The sequence below is a fragment of the Homo sapiens genome, chromosome 12, assembly GCF_000001405.40.
Source record: "Homo sapiens chromosome 12, GRCh38.p14 Primary Assembly".
Taxonomy (NCBI): domain Eukaryota; kingdom Metazoa; phylum Chordata; class Mammalia; order Primates; family Hominidae; genus Homo; species Homo sapiens.
In genome coordinates this window covers 62,282,845-62,306,494 of record NC_000012.12, presented here as the reverse complement: position 1 = coordinate 62,306,494, position 23,650 = coordinate 62,282,845, and the positions used below count along the sequence as shown (strand labels likewise).

Genomic DNA, 23,650 nt, shown 5'->3' with positions numbered 1-23,650 from the left:
CACTTTCTACCAGTTTCCAGTAAGACTTTCCTCACTTCAAGTTCTCACTGGCAGCTATCTCAAAGTCTAGTAATCTACTAACGGTTTGTTTAAGGCCCTTTAAGCTTTCATTGATACTCTTAAAGTTCTGACAACCTCTATTCACTGTCAGCTCCAAAGCCACGCCACATTTCAAGTTTTCATATCAGCACCTATTTACAGGTACCATGATTAGTATTAGTTATCTATTGCTGCATAATAAATTACCCCAAAATTTACCAGCTTAACACAGCAAACATTATCTCACAATGTTTCTGAGGGTCAAGAATCTGGGAGCAGCTTAACTGGGTTGATTTGGTGTAGAGTTTCTCATGAGGTTGCTCTCAAGGTATGGCTGGGGTTTCAATCATCTGAAAGCTAAACTAGAACTAAAGGATCCACTTCCAAGGTCACTCACATGGTTGTTGCAGGCCTCCGTTCCTCTCTATTGGCCAGAGATCTCAGTTCCTCACCATGTGGGCCTCTCCATAGGCTGCCTGAGTGTCCTCGCCATATGCAGTTGAATTCCCCGAGTGAGAAATGAGAAAGAGAGACAGCTAGAGTGCGTGTGCACCCAAGATGTAAGCCGCGGTGTTTTTTTATAACCTAATCTCGAAAGCGATGTACCATGAGTACTGCTATATGCTATTGGCCACACAGACCAACCTCAGTACAACATGGAAGAAGAGTGCCCAAGAATATGGATATGAGGAGCTGGGGATCACCAGGGAACATAGTAGAGAATATTATCTTAACTTACATGCTAACACTATTGTGTAGTTAATTCTATACACATTTTCAACTCCATAAAAATTATTATTAATGTTTTCAACAGTCCATCTTAAGACTTACTCACAACATTTACATTTTGTCAGTCTACACTGTTTTCCTGCATCTCCAAGCTTTCATCTGGAATAATTTTCCTTCCATTCTTAAGATTATTTTGTAGTGCCTTTAATACACGTCTGCAGGTAACAAATTCTATTAGTTTTCATTTGAAAATGGCTTTTTTCACCTTCATCCCTGAAGGATTATTTTCTTAGTCACAGAATCCTACATTGGCAGTTATTTTCTTTTAACATATCAAAGTCCATTGTTTTCTGGCTTCCATGGTTTCTCTTGAGAAATCATTATTTTGTCTTATCCTTATTTTGAAGATAACATGTCTTTTTCTCTGGCTATTATTAGAAATTTTTTTGCCTTTGCTTTTCAACATTTGTACTAGGTACAGTTTTGTTTGTATTATTTCAGTTTGGGATTCATAGCATTTCTTTAAAGCATGACACCTTTCTCAGTTTGGGAAAATTCTCAGCTATTACGTCCTTTGGTATTAGTTCTACCCACTCTTTCTTTCCTCTCCAAGATTCCAACTATATGTATGCATGTTAAACTTACTTACTGCATTCCATTTATGCCTTAGCTTTTTTCTGTATTTTCTATTCTTTTGTCTCTCTAAGCTTTAGACTCTATATTTTCTATTGACAAATCATTTAGTTTACAAATTTTCTCTTCAGTTCTGTTTGGTCTAATAATTTTATTCCCAAACATTAAATCCATAAAATTTCCATATTATTAGTTTTAGAATTCTATTTGCTTCTTCTTTAATAGTTTTGCCCTACTTCTCATCTGCCTTTTTTTTTTTTTTTAAGCATAATAAGCCCACTATTCTAAAATCTACTAACTCAATTACCTGGGTTTCTTATGGGTCTGTTTCTATTGTCTGCTGTTTCTCTTGGATTTTGATTCCATCGTATTTTCTGCTTATATCCTTGCTTTCTTTTCGTCCATTCTTTGAGTGTTGACACTATAAATGACGCATTTTAGAGATCTTTGAGGTACAGGAAGATGTTTAACTTGGTTTCTGCATTATAGCTAGGGGAACCACCAATCCTAGATTCTTTAATGCAATCAGAGATGGGTAACATTGAAAGTTGGGCTTCAGACACTATAAGCTGGTCTATTTACTTCTTTGAGTTCCACCTGCATCAGTCATGTGGGCCACAGTGAAAATGCAAATGAAATTCCCAAATTTAAGTGTGATTAATTAAATTTTACTGCAGATTTAATGTTGTAGGAAATTGCATCTGTAATAAGAACTCCACGCAATGTAATATAGCACATGAACATTTGCAAACTATTTTACAGGTTGAATATATTTCATTCATCTTGTTAAAAATAAGTATGTGGTCTCCCAAGAGATTTGTCAATGTTTTTTCTTCTACTTGTGTGAAATTTTTGATTATATTTTACTTTGTTATTAGACACAGGTTTCAAGAACTCTCAATGAGGACTATTTCAAAGAGTAATGGCAATGAAATTGGTAGTTGATCTGTTTATCATACTGAAGACCGCTAGTGTATAATGTGCTACATTTATAAGAAAAAAAAGTGTATCATTAAGATTAAAGGAATACAGTGTAATACCTTTAGAGATATTTTGGACACAAATTTTCCTTTATCCTAGGAATGAAATAATTCTAGACAGTTTTACAGCTAAATAGGCTACCTTTGATCAAAACACTCAATTCTCCAGCAACTATAGATAAAGCAACTAGATCATTTCACAGATCTATAAGGCTAGCATTCCTACAACAGAGAAATTCTAATTTTGAAGTGGCTGAGTGAAACTAAGGAATAAAACTAAACAAAAATAAATAAAAGGTACATTCAAGATCTATTCAGAAAATAAGATCCAAGGTTAGCTTCTAATATACCTAAAACCATGGATACACAAATACAAATTGTTAACATGGCAACTTTGTAGCATCAATTCCAAATAAATTCAAATATAGTTAGGTCTACTAGAGGTTTTTTTACCCTTATGTTACCTAATCCAACTTTTTAATTGTTTCTATGTGGCGGGGGATGGGGGGAGGGTCGGGGGACCCAAACCAGATACAAAATTATGCCAAGAGATTTTGGTCCCTTCTCAGCCTCCCACCCCTCCTACAATAAATGATCAAATACATGTGTAAGGTTCACTCATTTACCTTGAATATTTGGTATTCTACTACAGCAACACCCTTACTTATTGCTTTTTAGTTCCCTAAAAAAACGAAATTGGTTATTCTTAATGTTTCTAGACTACAATTTTAAAATGTTAAAGGATATGAAAAAAAATCTACATTTTCAAGTTTAAAAAATTTTTATGTTCCAAAAAACATTGCTTCAACTTTTAGTTTCTTCATTGTTTTCTAATTGTTTTATCAAAAACAGTGCAGCACAGAAAACAGGGTCAGGTTGCCAAAGTCTGTATCCTGATATGACTTTCTAAAATAACTAGATCCTAACTTTTTATCCTCATTTCCTACTACTTACCTTACAGAGTTTTCTCTCTATATATAGAGGATTAATCAATAATACATACTTACAATAGTGGCTAGCATAAGTAAACCTTCTTAACATGTTACTTGCCATTATTGTAACACAGTGTACGGTTATTTTGCTGGCTTTTTCTCTAAGATAAGTGATGAAACTTCACAATTCATTGAATTAATAATAAAATGTGAACTAATCAAGAAAAATAATATTTATAGTCAGTTATTATTAAAATGTACCTTTCGTGCTATTGGCTCTTGACCTTCCATCAATGTGTACCAGCTGACAAGTTTATTCCAACCTTCAGTTGGCAACAGTATGTAATCCAATTCATCAATAAGGTGTTCCTTAAGTGACTGGGCATCACCATCTGCAAAAGAAAAAATAAACTCAATACCTAACTCTAAATACTTTGTTTGGACACATTACAAATTAAACTCATGAAGGCTAATTTAAGTATTTAAAACAAGTTTTAAGCTCTAAAGCAATTCAGCTCCCTTACATCAGGGGTGTCCAATTTTTGGGTTTCTCTGGGCCGTATTGGAAGAATTGTAACACTAACAATAGTTGATGAGCTTAAAAAAATCATAAAAAAAAACTCATAATGTTTTAAGAAAGTTTACAAATTTGTGTTTGGCTGTATTCAAAGCCATCCTGGGCCGCATGCAGCCCATGGGCTGCAGGTTGGACAAGCCTGCCATACATATTTCAAAATAAACTATTGCTTTAAAACTTTCAGTTTGTACCATAAATCAAAAAGCAATATTTAAAAACATAATTCTTTTATTAGGTTCTTTAAAAAATACTATGGAGTAACTGTTAGTCAAGAGACTTGACAAAAGAGTGTTTCCCACATATTTTGAGTAGCAGAGATCCCTCATATGGTAACAATATTCATTCTAGCATCAGCTTTTGTAGGAAATTCAGAAGCAAATCAACAACCTTTTACAATGACACCAAGACACACGGGCTAGGAACCATGACAGAAATCACAAATGGGCATCTTGTGAACCATTTCATTATTCCAGAAGGCCCACAATCTGGATTTCTCCCAAGAACTAAAATGGAGGTAATTCTTCAGATGTGATTCTAATTCACAGTCCACTTTCAAATTTCTAGCTAGACTAAAAAAATTTAGTATAAGACAGGCCACAGATCTAGAAGAAATTTCTGGAACCATACCTACATCACAGTCCTAATCTGAGACTTGTTATCTGTCCATGTGAATTTTTAAAATGCAGAAAGAGGAACAGAAATATCTCACTGAGTTATATCCAACTTAATGGAGATTTTTCTTGTCCTAAGTTAGTCTTAATTAACAGATACGGAAAGCAAAATTGTTCTTGGTAGCATTTCAATAATGAGAACACAGTATTCCCAATAAGATATAAACAATAAAAATCAAGAAGCGAGAAAAAACCTGAGGGATTAAGAGAATGTTACTTATTCTGTGTTTTGCAACTATAGTCTACTTTGCATTTTCTAGACTTGTACATGAAAACAGTACTTGCTTTCTGTTACTATAGACGAATTTGCAATTTCTAGAGTCTTACATAAAAATAGTATGTCCTCTTTTTTGTTTGGCTTTGTTCATGCCATGTAATTATTTTGAGATCTATCCATGTTTTTACATATCAATACTTAATTTCTTTTAATTGCTGAGTGGGATTTCATTGTATGGATATGCTACATTTTGTTTCTCCATTCAGGTGTTGATGGGCATTTGAGTTGTTCACAACTTTTTCTATTACAAATAACACTGTATGACCATTTGTGTACAATCGGTCATATGGATAAAATGCTTTCATTTATTCTGGGTAAATACCTAGGAGTGGAATGACTGGGCTCTACAATAAACGTATGTCTAACTTGTTAAGAAACTGCCAGACTATTTTCTGAAGTGCTTTTATGATATGACATCGATAGAAACAGTGTATGAGAGTTCTACTTCCTCTACAATCTTGCCAACACTTGGTATGGATCAGTTTTCTCATTGTGGTTTTAATCTTCATTTCTCTAATATGAATTATGTTGAGCATTTTTGCACGTGCTTTTTGAAACCTATATCTTCTTTGGTGAATTATGTGTTCAAATCTTTTGCCTACTTTTTCCATTGGGCTTTACGTTTTCTTCAAAATGAGTTTTATAAACTGTATATTCTACAAACAAGTCTTTTATCTGCTACATGATTGTAAATATCTTCTCCCACACTGTGGCTTCTCTTTTCTTTCTCTTAACAGTGTCATTTAAAGAAGCTTTTGTTACTGATGAGACACAACTACATTTTTTCTTTTAGCAACCTTGCTTTTGAATCATATCCAAGAAAACTTTGGCTAATACAACATCGCAAAGACTTTTTCCTAAAAGTTTTAGTTTTTACATTCAGGTCTATAATCCATTTTGGATTAATACTGTATACAGTGCCATGTATGCATCAAAATTCAGTTTTTTGCAAACAGATATCCAAATACTCAAGGCGCATTTGTTTAAAAGACTATCCTTTTGCCAGTGAATTCCTCTTTTACCTTTTTCTAAAGCTGAATGACTATATATGTGTAGATCTATTTCTGGATTCTCTAATCTGGTCAACTGATGTATTTGTCTTTATATCAATATCAACTATATTTATTATTACAGCTTTAAAATAAGGATTGAAATCAAATAGTGTTAACTTCTATGATTTTATTTTAAAATTCAAAGTTGTTTCAGCCATTCTGTCATTTGAATTTCCACATGAATTTTTGGATCAGCTTATCCTTTTCTATTAAAAAGCTTACTGGACAACTTAATATCCACATGCAAAAGGATGAAGTTAGAACACTACTGCACACCATATACAAAACTAACTTAAAGTAGACCAATGCTGTAAATGTAACAGCCAAAACTATAAAACTCGTAAAAGAAAATGTAAGTATAAATCTTACATAAATCTTTGCAACCTTGGTTTCAGCAATGCTCTCTGACACCAAAAGCACAAGCAACAAAGAAAAAAAAGGCAAATTGGACTTAAAATTAAAAAACTTTTGTGCTTCAAAGGTCACCATCAAGAATATAAAAAGCCCACAGAATAAGAAAAAATTTTTGCAAATCATACATCTGATAAGGGTCTAGCATCCTAAATAAATAACAAACTGAAAATACAACAATAAAAAGACAAACAATTCTATTAAAAATAGGCACAGGATCTGAATGTATTTCACTAAAAAAGATATATAACAAGCACACAAAAAAAGAACTTATCATCAATCACTAGGGAAATGCACGTCAAAAATCACAATGAGATACCACTTCACACCCACTTGGACGGCTATAATAAAAAGGACAGACAAGAACAAGTGTTGGTAATAATGTGAAGCAATGAATCCTCATACACTGCCAGCAATGATGTAAAAGGATGCAATGACTTTGGAAAAACAGTCTAAGAGTTCCTAAAATAGTTAAACAACGAAGTTTAAAAAGACCCAACAATTTCATGTCTAGGTATCTACCCATTAGAAAGGAAAACACATTATCTACCCAAAAACTTTTACATGAATGTTCATAGCAACAATATCCAGAAGAGCCAAAACGTGAAAACAACTCAAATGTCCATCAACTGATGAGTGCATAAAGTAAATGTGCACCATTCAGTAGAAATCATTCATCTATAAAAAGAAATCAAGTACTGATTCATGCAACAACATGGATAAAACATGAAAACATTGTGCTGTCCTAAATAAAAGAAGACAAACATAAAAGAATTCATATTGGGCCAGGCACAGTGGCTAACACCTGTAATCCCAGTACTTTGGGGGACTGAGGCGGATGGATCACCTGAGGTCAGGAGTTCAGAGACCAGCCTGGCCAACGTGGTGAAACCCCATCTCAACAAAAATGCAAAGATCAGCCAGGTGTGGTGGCACGCATCTGTAATCCCAGCTACTTGGCAGGCTGAGGTAGGATAATCGCTCGAACCTGGGATGCGGAGGTTGCAGTGAGCTGAGATTCTAGCCTGGGCAACAGAGTGAGACTCCATCTCAAAAAATAAAATAAACAAAAAAACACACATATTGTATGATTCCATTTATATGAGATGTCCAGAATAAGCAAATACATACAGACAAAGGAGATTAGTAGTTGTCTAGAGTGGGGGGTGGCAGCAAAGAAGGGATAGGGTGTGATTCTTAATGGGTACAAGGAATGTTTTACAAAATTCAATTAGGTCAAGTTGATTAACAGTGTTGTTCAACTCTTTGGGCTTCGTGAATGTAGATGTCCAATTTCCCTTCCCAGTTTCAGGAAGTTTCAGCCATTATTTCACTCATTCTTTTTTTTTTTTTTTTTTTTTTTGCAAGACAGGGTCTTACTCTGTCACCCATGCTGGAGTGCAGTGGTACAATCTCGGCTCCATACAACCTCTGTCTCCTGGGCTGAAGCAATCATCTCACCTCAGCCTCCCAAGTACTGGGACTACAGGTGTATGCCACCACCCACATATTATGTTATTTTATTTTTTTGAGATGGAGTCTTGCTCTGTCGCCAGGCTAGAGTGCAGTAGCATGATCTCAGCTTGCTGAACCGCTGCCTTCCAGGTTCAAGCGATTCTCCTGCCTCAGCCTCCTGAGTAGATGGGACTACAAGTGCGCGCCACCACACCCAGCTAATTTTTTGTATTTTTAATAGAGACGGGGTTTCACCATGTTGGCCAGAATGGTCTCGATCTCTTGACCTTGTGATCCTCCTGCCTCGGCCTCCCAAAGTGCTGGGATTACAGGTGTGAGCCATCGCGACTGGCTGGATTATTTTTTTTGTATTTATTCTAGAGACAAGGTTTCACCATGTTGCCCAAGCTGATCTCGAACTCCTGTGTTCATGTGATCCGTCCACTTTGGCCTCCCACAGTGCTGGGATTACAGGTGTGAGCCACTACACCTGGCCTCAGCCAGTATGTCTTTAAATATGCTTTCTGCCCCTCTCACTTTCCTCCTTCTGGAACTTCCATACACACAAATTGGTTCATTTGATGGTGTCCCAGAAGTCACTTGGACTTCCTTTATGCTTTTTTATTATTTTTAATCCTCTGATTAGATAATTTCAAATGATCCGTCTACAAGTTTGCCAATTCATCTACTTGTCCAAGTCTGCTGTTGAAGACCTCTAGTGAATTTTTCAGTTATCGTATTCCAAAATTTGTTTGGTTCTTCATAATTTTTAGCTCCTTGTTGATATTTTAATTTTGTGAATTTTTATTTTTCTTGTTTTGTTAAGTTGTCTATGTTTTCGTGTAACTCAGTGAGCTTTATAAGACAATTATTTTGAATTCTCTGTCAGGCAATTCATCTCTATTTCTTTAGGGTCAGTTTCTGGAGATTTTGTTTTTTTGTGTCACGTTTCCCTGATTGAGTTCTTGTAGCTTTGCACAGGTGTTTGTGCAACTGAAGAAACAGCCACCTCTCTCCCAGTCTTTATCAACTGGCTTTGAAAGGCAAATAGCTTCACTTCCACCCAAAAGCCTGGCTAGAGATTCTGAGAACATCTCAAACTTTTTTTGTGGATATGTCTTTTCTGTACTTGTGCATGCAGATTCCTAATTAGAAGGATTTGTTGATTTCCTTTTTTTTCAGAAACCCATAATCTCTTCCTCCTTCTGGTATCTTACATCATACTGCAGACCAGAACATTAGAGGAACATCCCACTTGTCTCCCTCTTCCTTGAGTTCTCTGCCTTCTCAAATCTTGTAGAGCTGTGCTGAGTGCAGCAAGCCACTTGCCCCTCTTCCTTTGTTCCTATCTGCCCCCACCAAACACTGGGTAAGGTAAGACAGAAGTCAGTCCTTCAAGCAGTACCCTGAAAGACTGGAACACTGGGGGTACACTCCACTCCTTTTCCTCTTCCTTGGAAGACAAGTCTCAGGTTCTATGCCTTCTCCCAATATTACAGGGTTGTGGCAGCTGCAGCAAGCCACCTATCCCTTTTCTTTTGTTGTTAACTTCCCCCAGTTATTTGAACTATGTCAGCTCTCTGGTACAATAAGGCATGACAGAAACTGGCCCCTCAAGCAGCACACTGAAAGGCATGGGCAGTGCAGGATGCCCCCACTCCTCTCCTTCCTTCCTGGGAGAGAAGCCTCAGGTTCTTAGCCTTCTCTCAATCTCTCAGAGCCTTCCAGCTGCAGCAACCACCTACCCTCTTTCCTTTGTTAACTGCCCCCAGGCATCAGAACTATGCTGGTTCCTTCAGCACTCTATGTAAGGTGATCAAAATTTTTTTTTAGAAAACTGGCCTGTTGGGTAGTACACTGAAGGGCTGGAAAATTAAGCACGTGATCTCCCTCTTTTCCCCCAAGGGAGAGGTCCTGATCTGAGACAATCTCTCTTGAGACTAAGCTAAGACTCCTTGGAGGAGGGGCTGATGTGGGCAAAATAAAATTGTTCTTACTCATTTCAATGTTGTTGTTCTCAGTTTTGGGCTCATCTGGAGTACTACAAATTCTTAACTGGATCTTGGGTTTCTCATAAAGAGTCTGGTCCATTGTTACTTCAGTGTTTCTGTTGGGTGTTGGGGGCTGGGACTTTCTATTCTATCATCCTGCTGACATCACTCTTCTTCACATATTTTCAAGTTATGCCATTAGGTAGGTATGTATTTAGGATTACTATATTCTCTTGATGAACTATCCCATCCCATTAGTCATTATCAAGTGACCTTTTCTATCCCTGATTATGTTCTTTATTCTGAAACTTAATGTCTCCGGCTTTTTAAAAAACAGTGTTAGCATGTGTTATTAGTTTTCCACTGTTACATAATGAATTACCATAGTGGCTTAAACATCACCGATTTATTAGTTCACAGTTCTGTGGGTCAGTAGTTAAGGAGGGCCCAAATGGATTTGTGCTTAGGGCTTTACAAGGCTGAAGTCAAGATATCACCCCTGCTGGGCTCTTATCTGAAGGTCTGAGGGAGAATCTGCTTCCAAGCCCATTCAGTTGTTGGCAGAATTCAGTTACTCATGGTTGTGAGTTTGAGGTTCCCGTTTCCTTGCTGGCTGTCAACCTGAGGCCACTCTCTGTTCCTAGAGGCTGCCTGCCTTGCATCTCACATGATTCCTTCCAACTTCAAACCAGCAATGACATATTGACCCTCTTTCATGCATCTCTGAATTCTTTTGCCACCAGACAGAGAAAACTCTCTGTTTTTAAAGGGTATGTGTGATTAGATTACGTTCACCAGGATAGTCTCTTTTTGCCACATAACATAATCACAAGAGTGATATCTTCATCCTATTTACAGGTTTCACCTACACTCAAAGGGGAGAGTATTATACAAGAGTGAGGATCACTGGGGGTTAGTCTTGCTTACCACAGCCTGGTGTTATCTTGTTCCATATCTTAATCTATCTGTGTTCTTGCATTTAAAGTGAGTTTCTTGTAGGCAGTTATAGCTGGTTCTTAACTTTTTAATCTAGTCTCACCCTCACTACCTTTAGTTGAGGTGTTTACATTTAATGTGATTATTCATAGAGCTGGGTTTCAATCTAGCAACTTTTAATTTTGTATTTGTCTCATCTGTTCTTTATTAATTTTTTCCATGTCTTGTGGGGGAGATTTGTTTTTAAGATTGACATTGCTTGTCATTATTGATCATATTTTCCTGCTTCTTCACATGCCAGGTAATATTTGGTCAGATCCAAGCCATTATAAATTTTACATTTTTGTATGCTGGATATTTTTGTATTCTTATAAATACTCAAGTTTTATTCTGAAATGCAGTTAAGTTTCTTCGAAATAGTTTGATGCTTTCAGGTTAGCAGAGCAGGAAAATTAATTTCACCCTATTACATAAGTAAAACTGTTCTCAGAAGTCTACTCTAAATTATGTGGTTTTCCACTCTGGCTGCTGAGAACACAAACGATTCCCAATCCTATATTAGCCTCGATGATTGTTCCTTCTTTTCAGTGGTACCTTGTCTGACCTTGGGCAGTTTTCTTATATGCAAAGTGCGGTTTAATAGTTGAAGACTTAAGAGCAACCCTATGGGGGGGGGTCTAGGTCTCTCTCTCTCTGAGCTACTCACTACTTTCTGGTATTTTCCTGGACTCTTGTAGCCTTGGTTTTCCTAGACTGCAAACTCTGTTTCCTCAACTAAGGGAGATAGCAAGGGTCTGCATGGGTTTCATCTTCCCATGTTGTGTCTTGGAAATCTCTTTTAATGCAGTAAACTGAAGGCAGTTGGAGGGCTTACCTATTTTGTTTCGCATCTCTCAAGGATCACTGTTTTCCGTTGCCTGATACACAGTGTTTTGAGAACCACTGTTAGAAATGGAAGTTCTGGTACTTATGTTTTGTTCCCTTTACCCATAATAAGAGGTATATAGAAGGACTGGCAAGTAGTGAGGGTTGTAGAAAGCTAATGCAAAAATTTAAGAACTTAAGCATATATGATTATTCCTCAAATTTTAAAAAATGTCATGTGTCCACTAGGAAAAACAATATGTGACATAGCATTTCTCAAAATAATCAGTGTTTAATTATTTAATAACAAATAATGAGTCTTATTATTTAGTAATAAATAATCATTAAATAATGATTACTTAATAATGAAATCTTTAAATGAAGAAATCAGTTCTTCATTTAAGGGTTTAAACAACAATAAAACCTTATTACATCATAAATGAAAAACAAAACTTGTCATACAGAATAATAACTAATAAAATTTTTAATAACTTATTAGAATAATGAGTTCATTAGGTAAAATCTGTAATGCAAAACTTTATCAACTTATTTGCGCTAACATTTTCCAAATTCAACCCACTGACATTTATATAATGAAATTTAACACATTTACAACTTGACTGAAGGAAGAAAATAATGACCTTTGAGAAGTCCAGAGTTATCAATGGGTCCAGGATACACATTTTGATCTCCCATCTGGTATTTGTCCCAACTGTCAAAGCCAACATATTTTTTCCACTGTTTGAACCAGCGACTATCGACTAGGTACCTAAAAAATAAAAGAAATTGGTTAAGGAAAATACCTGAAAATACAGGAACAGTAGAACAGCCATCTATTTTTTGATATTTCCTTTTATATTAAAAGACATATCTACTTCAAAGGATATTTGAAAACTGTAATGCCCCTTAGTATTAGAAAGACAAGACTTCATTTGTATAAAGTATTATTCCTATTGTTCTATAAATATATACTACTTAATGACAAATACTGACATAAAAATACAAATATACGTATTCAAGAAAATGCTTCTCATTGAATAAAAATGGAAATAACCGTAAGAATTTGTCAAAATAAATTTAAAAATGCAATATGGTAAATAGAAAAAATGGTTCTTTTACAAGAAGCTTGCAAATAATTTTATGTACTTTATTGTGTGTTTCGGAGGTAAAGGAAACCAGTTATCAAGGGTTGCAAGGTTAATTATAATAATCATAATCAGAGAGAGAGGTTCAAGATGGCTGACTAAAGACATCAAGTTCCAGTTCTCTTCAGAAAAAAGAACCAAAATTACAGCCGGGCGCAGTGGCTTACGCCTGTAATCCCAGCGCTTTGGAAGGCTGAGGTGGGTGGATCAGTTGAGGTCAGGAGTTCAAGACCAGCCTGGCCAACATCGTGAAACCCCGTCTCTACTAAAAATACAAAAATTGGGAGGCATAGTGGTAGGTGCCTGTAACCCCAGCTACTCAAGAGGCTGAGGCAGGAGAATTGCTTGAACCTGGGAGGCAGAGGTTGCAGTGAGCCGGGATCGCACCACTGCAGTCCAGCCTGGGCGACAGAGAGAGACTCGGTCTCAAAAAAGAACCAAAATTACAAACACATAATCACAGCTCTAACAGAATATCAGAGAGAGAATACTAGTACACAAAAATCACAGGAAAAAATTTAGGCATAGAAAAAGAAGGAAGTGAGAGGCCAAAAAAGAGTGGCTGGGAGCCCCAAGGGACTTGGTGTTGCACGGAAAGGGTAAGCGAGAGTGTTTGGGATCCTTCATTCCTGTGGCAGAGTGCTAGTATGCGATCTATGGGAGAGCTCCTCTGCTCTCACAAACCTAGACTGTGGTATGGGTAGGGATTTCTTGAGGGTGTTACACCAGACTGCAAGCTCACGCTGGGTTGCTCACCTTCCCACCATCCTAGACTCGAGCATCTGTGGCAAGGCATCATTATCAGAGCATATCCATCAGGGGACTTTATCTTGCCCAGGGAACCTCAGCCCTTGTGCTTCCACATCCTGGGAGCTCTTGCTGACATTCCCCAGCACCCACTCAGCAGGCAGCAGTGGCACAGTGCTAGTTAGACCCGGGGTGCTGCAGGGTTCCCAATAATCTATCCCACAAGGAGTGCTACTTTTAAGAGAAGGAAAAGTGCAGTGCACCAAAAGGACAGCCTCTGGGACAAAGGAAACCAAAGCATGCATTTTCCAGCGCCCCCCAAGAGCTCTCTGCTTGGGGCTGCAAGTGAATGCCTGCTCCTGGCAGAGACACAGAGACACAAACTCTGCTCAGCACTGCAAGTGAGGAGTAAGGTCCTGTACCACTGGCCAAGTGGCCTCTGTGCTTGAGCCCAGACATAGAGAAGGGAACTTCTCCTCCCCCTCCACCCACTGCTGCAGACACAGTAATTGCTGCTCCCATGGGAAGCTGGCACAAGAAACCAGAGGGCAGGCTATCTGAAGCTGTGAGGGGCAACTGCAGTTCCACTGGCAGTGGCCTCTGGGCCCAGGTTCATGAGAAAGGTGGGTCCTGTCCCACTCTCTGCCTAGAGTTTCAGGGGTCCTGCCATGGGGAGGGAGCAGAGTCTGCATGGCACCCATTTCCAGATAGCACAGAAGTGTACTGTCAAGCCATGGGGCAAGCATCTCCTGTAGTTCTAGGCTACATTGCAGCTTGGAGATAAACAGCAGTGTCTAAGAGAACTGAACAACCTGAGCACCAGAATAGGAGTGTGAGAGGGAAACATCACATTCCTGCCTGCTGAGGCCAGGGTGCTAAGACAGCTCATCACCTGGCCCACACCCCCCCATCCCACCCCTCTCCACAAGAGACCTCAGTGCATTTTACCAGTGGCCCAATGACTCCCCTCTCCCCTGCCACCCTTGTCAGGGCTGGTGCCTCTGCCAGTCATCAGAATATCTGAGCTTTCCCTGGCAAACAAAGGTCAAGCGTAAACCCCACTGTTACCACTGAAGCTGACTCATACCTGCAAATGCTACTTATTGGCCTGGAGATGAACTGCACAACCCAATCTGGTAACATAAATGCACACAATTTGGGAACAAGATACACTTCTTGAGACCTCTGCTACCCTGACTTACAGGAGGCTGTGAGCCTGCTCACAAGCCAAGTATACCACTATCACACCTGATGTTTGAGAAAGCCACCAAAGGCTATCTAAAACCAGGAAATTCATATAGAGTCTTTGCCACTAAAAGCACCCAGAAGCAAAGCCAAATGACCATATTCAACATACATTACAGTCACATCCTCAAGGGAAAACAGTCTCGTTCAAACAAAAATTAATTCAAACTGAGAAATGTGTTTTTCCAGATGAGAAAGAACCAGTGTAATAATTCTGGAAGTTTGAAAAAACAGGGTGTTACGATACCCTCAAAGGATCACACTAACTCTCTAGCAATAAATCCTAACCAACATTACTGAAATGCTAAATAATTCACAATATTGATTTTTAAGGAAGCTCAATGAGATTCATGGAAAATGTGAAAAACCAACACAAAGAAACAGAATATCAATTAAGGATATAAATGAAATCTTTTGAAAATAAAAAATTCACTGAAGGATTTACAAAATACAGATGAAAGCTTCAACAATAAACTAGATCAAGGAGAATAAACAATCTCAGAACATAAAGACAGGTCTTTTGAAGAAAGAAAAAAGAATGTTAAAGATGAACAAAGCCTTTGAGAAGTAGGAGACTACAATAAAATGTCTGGATCTAGGAATTGTAGGTATTCTCGAGAAAGAAAAGAAAAGAAAGCAAAAAGTTTGGAAAACCAACTTCTCTTGTCCAGCAAGTGATCTAGACATCCAGAGTAAGAGGCTCAATGAAACCCAGAAAAATACATTGCAAGAAGGGCCTCACCATGACATAGAGTCATCAGACTGTGTGGTCTCAGCAAGAGAAAAGCATTTGGACACCTACAAAGGAAACTCCATCAGACTAACAGCAGACTTCCTGGCAGATGACTTACAAGTCAGAAGAGACTGGGATTCTATTTTCAAAATAGGCTTAAAGAAAAAAAAAACTGTCAACCTGAAAATTTGTATCCTGCTAGAAAAAGCTTCAGGAATAAAGGAGATATAAAGTCTTTCCTAGAAAAACAATCATTGAGGGAATCTGTCATCACTAGACTGGCTCTACAAAAATGATCAAGGGAAGTCTAAACATGGAAATGAAGGGTCAATACTTGCCATCATAAAAATGTAAGAAAGTAAAAAATCCACAGGTCTTGTAAAATAATTACACCAACGAAACTACAAAGCAATGTGATAACAATTAACATTACTACAGGAATAAAACCTCACATATCAATATTTACCTTAAACATAAATGAGTTAAATGCTCTACTTAAAAGATAAAGATTGGCAGGACGAATTTAGAAAACAAGATCCAACTATATGCTGCTTACAATAAACTCACCTTAGTGGTAAAGAAACTTACAGACTGAAGAAAGGGGTGCAAAAAGATACTCCATGCAAACGGAAACCAAAAACAAGTAGGAGTAGCTATACTTAGATCAGATAAAGCTGACTTTAAATCAAAAACAGTAAAAAAATACACAAAGTTATTATAAAGGGATCAATTCAATAGAAAGACATAACAATCCTAAATATATATGTACCCAACACCAGAAGACCCAAACCCAGATTCATAAAACTAATATTACTAGACCTAAGAAAAGATATAAACAGCAATACAATAATAGTGGGGGACTTCCATATTCCACTGACAGCACTAGACAGATCATCAGGACACAAAACCAACAAAGAAACACCAGAATTAAATTGGACTCTAAACTAAATGTATTTGGCAGACATTTGCAGAACATTCTAGCCCCAAATAGCAGAATATACATTCTTTTTCATCATGCATGAAACATTCTCCAAAATAGGCCATATGGTATGCCACAAAACAAGTCTTAAAGAATTTTTTTTTAAATTGAAATCATATCAAGTATCTTCTTAAACCACAGTGAAATAAAGCTAGAAATCAATCCCAAGGGGGAATTCTTGAAGCTATACAAATACATGGAAATTCAGCAACATGTTCCTGAACGATCTTTGGGTCAACAACAAAATTAAGATGAAAATTTTAAAAAATGTTTAAATGAATGAAAAAGGAGATACAACATACCAAACCTCTGGGATACAGCAAAAGCAGTGCTAAGAGGAAAGTTTATACTGCTGTCTAAACACACACACACACACACACACACACACACACACACACACAAATTAACAACCTAATGTCACACCCAATGAAACAGAAAAACAAGAACTAAATCCAAATTTGACAGAAGAAAAGACATAAAGATCAGAGGAAAAGTAAGTGACACTGAGACCAAAAACACAATACAAAAAGATCAATGAAATGAAAAGTTAGTTCTTTGAAAAGAGAAACAAAACGGACAGACTGCTAGCTAGACTAACCAAGAAGAGAGAAGATTCGAATAAACACAATCGGAAATAAAAAAGAAGATATTATAACGGATACTGCAGAAATACAAAAGGTCATCAGAGACTACTATGAGCATCACTACATGCACAAACTAGAAAACCTAGAGGAAGTGGGTAAACTCCTGGAAACATACAACCTCCCAAGATTGTACTGAACCAGAAAGAACTGGAAGCCCTGAACAGACCAATAATGAGTACTAAGATTAAATCAGTAAGATGAAAATCTCCCAACAACAACAACAACAACAACAACAACAAGCTCAGGAGAGGACAGATTCAGAGCTGAATACTACCAGACATACAAAGAACTTGTACCAATCCCACTGAAACTGTTCCAAAATAGTAGAGGGAATCTTCCCTTTCTAATTCTACAAGGCCAGTGTCACCCGGATACCAAAGCCAAACAAGGACTCATCAAATAAAGAAAACTACAGATCAATATCTCCTGATGAATATAGATGCAAAATTCCTCAAGAAAATATTAGCAAATTGAATACAACAGCATTCGAAAAGATAATACACCATGATCAAGTGGGTTTTACTCCAGGCACGCAAAGGAAGTTCAACATATGCAAATCAATAAATGCAATTCACCACCTAAACAAAATTAAAAACAAAAACCATATAATAATCTCAATAGACGCAAAAACAGCATCTGGTAAAATTCAACATCTCATGATAAAAACCTGCAACAAACTAGGCACAGAAGGAACATATCTCAAAATAATAAAAGTCACAAACAACGAAACTACAACCAATATCATACGAATGGAGAAAAGTTGAAAGAATTCCTGCTAAAAATGGGAACAAGACAAAAATGCCCACTTACACACTCCGATTCAGTATAGTACTAAAAGTCACAGCCAGAAAAGAGGCAACAGAAATAAGTCATCCAAGTTGGAAAAGAGGAAGCCAAGTTATCTCTGTTTGCTGACAATATCATCTTATACCTAGATAACTCTAAAGATTCCACGAAGACTTCTTTGAGAAACGAACTCAGTAAAGTTTCAGCATACAAAATCAACTTACAAAAACCAGAAGCAATTTTATACACTAGTAACAATCGAGCTGAGAACCAAATCAAAGTCAGTTTCATTTACCAAAGCTACCAAAAAAAAAAAAAAAAAAAGTAAAATGCCAGGGAACACATCTAATCAAGGAGGTGAAAGACCTCTATAAGGAAAACTACAAAACACTGATGAAAGAAACTGTAGATGACACAAATAAGTGGAACAACATCCCATGCTGATGGATCAGAAGAATCGATAATGTTAAAATAACTCATACTTCCCCGCCCAAAGCAATCTACAGATTCAATGTAATTTCTATCAAAATACCAACATCATGTTTCACTGAATTAGAAAAAACAATTCTAAAACTCATATGAAATAAAAAAAAGAATCTCAATAGATTAAGCAATACTAAGCAAAAAGAACAAAGCTGGAGGCATCACATTACCCAACTTCAAATTAAACTGCAAGGTTATAGTAACCAAAGCAGCATGGTACTGGTACAAAAATAGACACACAGATCAATGGAACAGAATAGAGAGCCCAGAAATAAAGCCACATACCTTTGCCAACTGATCTTCAACGAAGCTGACAAAAACATTCGCTGGGAAAGGAGACCCTATTCAATAAATGGTACAGGGAAAACTGGATTGCCACATGCAGAAGAATGAAACTGGGCCCCTACTTCTCACTATATAAAATATTTAACTCAAGGTGGAAAAACAACAACAACAAAAATTAACGCAAGGTGTATTCAAGATCTTGAAACTTTTATAAAAGTCCTAAAAAAAACCTAGGAAAAACTCTCTGTTCACTGGCCTACACAAAGAATTTATGACTAACATCTCAAAAACAAATCCAACAAAAAACAAAAATAGACAAAAGTGACTTAGTTTAACTGAAAAACTTCTGTACAGCAAAGGAAATAATTGAGAGAACAGACAACCTAACAATGGGAGAAAACATCTGTAATCTATGCCTCCAACAAAGGACTAATATTCAGAATTTACAAGGAACTCAAACTACTCAATGACAACAATGGCAACCAAAAAAACTCATTTAAATGTGGGCAAAGAACACAGATTTTTAAAATTTATTTTTATATCATAAATTCGTTTTAAAAAATTTTAAATTTTATTTTAAATATTAGATTCAGGGGGTACATATGCAGGTTTGTTACATGGGTATATTGCGTGATGCTGAGGTTTCGGCTTCTAATGATCCTGTTGCCCAGTAGCAAATACGGTACCTGAGAGGTTTTTTTCCAACCGCTACTCCCCTCTCTCCCTCTTCTCTTTTGGAATCCCCAGTGTCTATTGTTCTCAATTTTGTGTTCGTGTATACCCAATGTTTAGCTCCTACTTATAAGTGAGAACACACAGTATTTGGTCTTCTGTATCTGTGTTAATTTGCTTAGAATAATGGCCTCCAGCTGCATCCATGTTGCTGTAAAGGATACAATTTCATTCTTTTTGATAGCTGCACAGTATTGCATGGTATATATGTATCACTTTTTTTTTTTTTTTGAGACAGAGTTTCGCTCTTGTTGCCCAGGCTGGAGTGCAATGGTGCGATCTCAGCTCACCGCAACTTCCACCTCCCGGGTTCAAGCGATTCCCCTGCCTCAGCCTTCCGAGTAGCCGGGATTACAGGCATGCGCCACCTCGCCTGGCTAATTTTGTATTTTTAATAGAGACGGGGTTTTACCATGTTGGTCAGGCTGGTCTCGAACTCCTGACCTCAGGTGACCCGCCCACCTCAGCCTCCCAAAGTGCTGGGATTACAGGCATGAGCCACCACGCCCGGCCATGTATCACATTTTCTTTATCCAATCCATCAATGATGGGCACCTGGGTTGATTCCATGTCTTTACTATTGTGAACAGTACTGTGATAAACATATGAGTGTAAGTGTCTTTTTGGTAGAATGATTTATTTTCTAGTAATGGGACTGCTGAGCGAATGGTATTTCTATTTTTAGTTCTTTGAGAAATCTCCAAACTGCTTTCTTTCCACAGGGGCTGAACTAATTTGCATTCTCACCAATAACATATTAAACATTCCCTTTTCTCTGCAATCTTGCTAAAATCTGTTAACTTTTTAATAATAGCCATTTCAACTGGTGTGAGATGGTATCTTACTGTGGTTTTGATTTGTATTTCTCTGATTATTAGTGATTTTGTGCATTTTTTCATACATTTGCTGGCTGTCTGTATGTGTTCTTTGGAGAATTCTCTTCATGTTCTTTGTCCACTTTTTAATGGGCGTTTTTTTTCTTATTAAGTTCCTTATAGAGTCCAGATATTAGTCTTTTGTTGTATGCATAGTTTGAAAATATTTTCTCCCATTTTGTAGATTGTCTGTTTACTCTAAACAGAAAAATTTCAAACTAACACATATGAATGGTCAACATATGAAAAAAAATTCCACATCACTAATTATCAGATAAATACAAGTAAAACCACAGTGAAAAAGCATCCATACCAGTCAGAATGGCTATTATTAGAAGCTCAAAAGATAACAGATGTTGGCAAGGATGCAGAAGAAAAGGAATGGTGGGAATGGAGGGAATGGAAATTAGTACAACCTTTATGGAAAACAGTATGGAGATTTCTCAAAAAACTAAAAATAGAACTATCACTGGATCTAGTAATTCCACTACTAGGTATATACCCAAAGGAAATGAAATCATTCTATCAAAAAGACACCTGCACTTGTATGTTTATCACAGCACTATTCACAATAGTGAAGATATGGAAACAACCTAAGTGTCCATCAGTGGATGATTGGATAAAGGCAATGTAGCATATATGGATACACACACACACACCATGGAATACTACTCAGCCATAAAAAAGAATAAAACCATGTTTTTTGCAGCACCATGGATGGAAGTGGAGGCCATTATCTTAGGAAACACTTTAAGTGTCCATAAATGGATGACTGGATAAAGACAATGTGGCACACTCATGTACACACACACATACACAAACACAAAGACACAAACACCATGGAATACTACTTAGCCATAAAAAAGAAGGAAGCCATGTTTTTTGCAGCAACATGGATGGAACTGGAGGCCATTATCTTAGGGGAAATAATTCAGAAATACAAAATCAAATACTGCATGTTATCACTTATAAGTGGGAGCTAAATCATGTATACACATAGAGCGTGAATAACAGACATTGGAGACTCAGAAGGGTGGGAGGCAGGAGAGGGATGATAAATTATTAAATGAGTACAATATACACTATTCAGCTGATGGCTACATTAGAAGCCCTTACTTCACCATTATGCAGTTCATCCATGTAACAAAACTGCATTTGTAGTCCCTAAATCTATAAAAATATTAATAGAAAGTATAATCAACTCTTAAAACCTTAATTAAGCTTCTTTACCAACAGAAGTTAATAACAACAATACTATCTCTGACTGTTCCTCCTATAGTAGTAAAATATGGGGCAAGCAGGATTGGTTTTTGAATGATTTCAAAAGTGTGATACAGCTAACACTGTAAACATTACTGAAACTATATCCATCTTATTTTCAGCTGCCTAGAAACTAGCTTCTCATCAGATGACCAATGACAGAAAAAGTAAAACAAGAGTTCACTAGGATAGAAAGCATTAAAAAAAAACCTAAAACATTGTAAAAATTTATTCTGACTACAGTATGCCTGCTATAAAATACTGCTTTGTCATTGGTTCACAATGATTTTAAATTTTTCTAGAAACATTTCTCCCACATTTAACCAGGTTCAATCACAAGCAGAATCAAAGGTAAAGATAAAGGTTAATGAGAGATTTAAAGCTCATGTGTGTAATACTACAGGTAACAAAGCTTTTTAGAAGATTATCCATTCTAGTGTTTCTTTTCTATGCTTACCATATATAGCACTATAAGAACAAAAACCCACAGTTACGTCCGAAAATAGCTAAAGCAAAGGCACTAACCTAACAAAACCTCAGATTTCTTAAAGAATATTCATGAGTTTAACTCCCTAAAAGTGGATATGCAGAATTATCTATGTACCAGTATTCTGAACTCACTGTCAAGATTATGCAATTGAAAGCCCCCACACATTGTGGAATTTAAGATTTGTGAGAAAAGAATTGAGGGACTAAGTCTTAAGAAAATCCTATTTTCTAAAATAAATATTGACTAGACTAGCAATGACTTTACTTATACTCAGACATTCGACTTGCTTTCTTCGCAAAGTTCCACAAAAAAGTCTAATAAGATTTTGATTGGAAGTACATTACACTTACAAAGTTGAGGGACACTGCCATCTTTACCAAAGTGAGTCTTCTTATCCACAGCCACGGCGTATCTCTCCATTATTCAGGTTAATGTCTTTCAATAAATTTTATATGTTTTTCCAATAAAAATCATGTTTTGCTAAATTCGTTCCTAGAAACCTCAGTTTTTCTATGTGAATTTTACATTTTTTCCCCAATTAATTAAATTCTATAACTGCTTGTAGTTGATGCATAGAAATAATATTTGTTGTTTGTTTTTTGGAGATAGGGTCTCGCTCTGCTGCCCAGGCTGGAGTGTGGTGGCACGATCTTGGCTTACTGCAACCTCCACTTCCCAGGTTCAAGCAATTCTCGTGCCTCAGCCTCCAGAGTAGCTGGGATTATGGCTTGTGCCACCATGCCCAGCTAATTTTTCTATTTTTAGTAAAGACCGGGTTTTGCCATCTTAGCCAGGCTGGTCTCAAACTCCTGGCCTCAAGTGATCCGCCTGCCTCGGCCTCTCAAAGTGCTAGGATAACAAGCATGAACCACTGTGCTCAGCCTAATTTTTTTAAGTGATTAATCTGATATCCACCAGCATCCTGAACTCTTAGTAGTTTTACCTGGTTGTAGGTTCCCTTAGATTTTTCTATGTAAAAACTCATACTGTTGCTGCAAATAATGTGTTTAATCATTCCTTTCTAATTGTATTCCTATTGTTCTTGTCTATTGCCTATTTTTCTTGGCTAGGGCTCCTAAAATATAGGTGAAGAGACAGCAAACATTTTTGTCTTTTTTTTTATGACAACATTTAAAGTTTCACCACTAGGTAGATTTTTGATAAATGCTGCTTATTAGCTTGCTGTAGGTTTTTGATAAATACTGCTTATGAACTTAGAGAAGTTCCTTTCTATTCAACATTTGTTTAGACTATCATGACTAAGTGTTAAAGGTGATGAAAATTTTCTGCACTTGCCAAGCTTTTTCTCCTGTACTCTTCTGAACAAACCTGGAATAGCTTTTACTCTTCTACTATCTACAAAAGTAGTTTGTAACGGGTTATCTGCCCCTTAATGATTTACTTGTATGAAAAACTACTGGGGAGTATAGTATCATTTGGGAGGGTAGACTCTGATCTTCAGTTAATTTTTCTTAGTTACTGATTTTTCCCTTTAAAATGGAAATGCAAAATTTCCCGTTAGTTTTCTTAAAAAGCTAATGCCATATCCATTAAAAATAGAATATGGACTTGAGATAACATTAATACTACAGTTACAAATATCATTTATAAAACACATTAAAAACAATTTGTGGAAAAGTATAGAAATTCTATTTATAGTTACTTAGACATTTTTAAGATATAGAGTTTTATCTCCCAA

The 23,650-nt window shown here is 36.8% G+C and overlaps 1 protein-coding gene across 16 annotated transcripts in view; it reads right to left on the bottom strand.

Moving 5' to 3' along the window:
• The window catches only part of USP15 (ubiquitin specific peptidase 15), a 155,986-nt gene that overhangs the window by 109,895 nt on the left and 22,441 nt on the right, over positions 1-23,650 (bottom strand). For 12 of the 16 annotated variants that reach the window (NR_147078.2, NR_147079.2, NR_147082.2 and 9 more), the window contains exons 2-3: positions 12,189-12,316; positions 3,575-3,705 (exon numbers count right to left, since the gene is read on the bottom strand). Coding sequence is in view for 5 of the 16 variants with exons in the window: in NM_001252078.2 (NP_001239007.1) it covers positions 3,575-3,705; positions 12,189-12,316 (259 nt within the window). In the remaining 11 variants the exon portion in view is untranslated. Of the gene's footprint in view, positions 1-436; positions 1,823-2,841; positions 3,064-3,574; positions 3,706-12,013; positions 12,317-23,650 lie in introns of those variants that run through there. The other 4 variants (NM_001351165.2, NM_001351159.2, NM_001351161.2 and 1 more) reach the window with 3 other exon arrangements.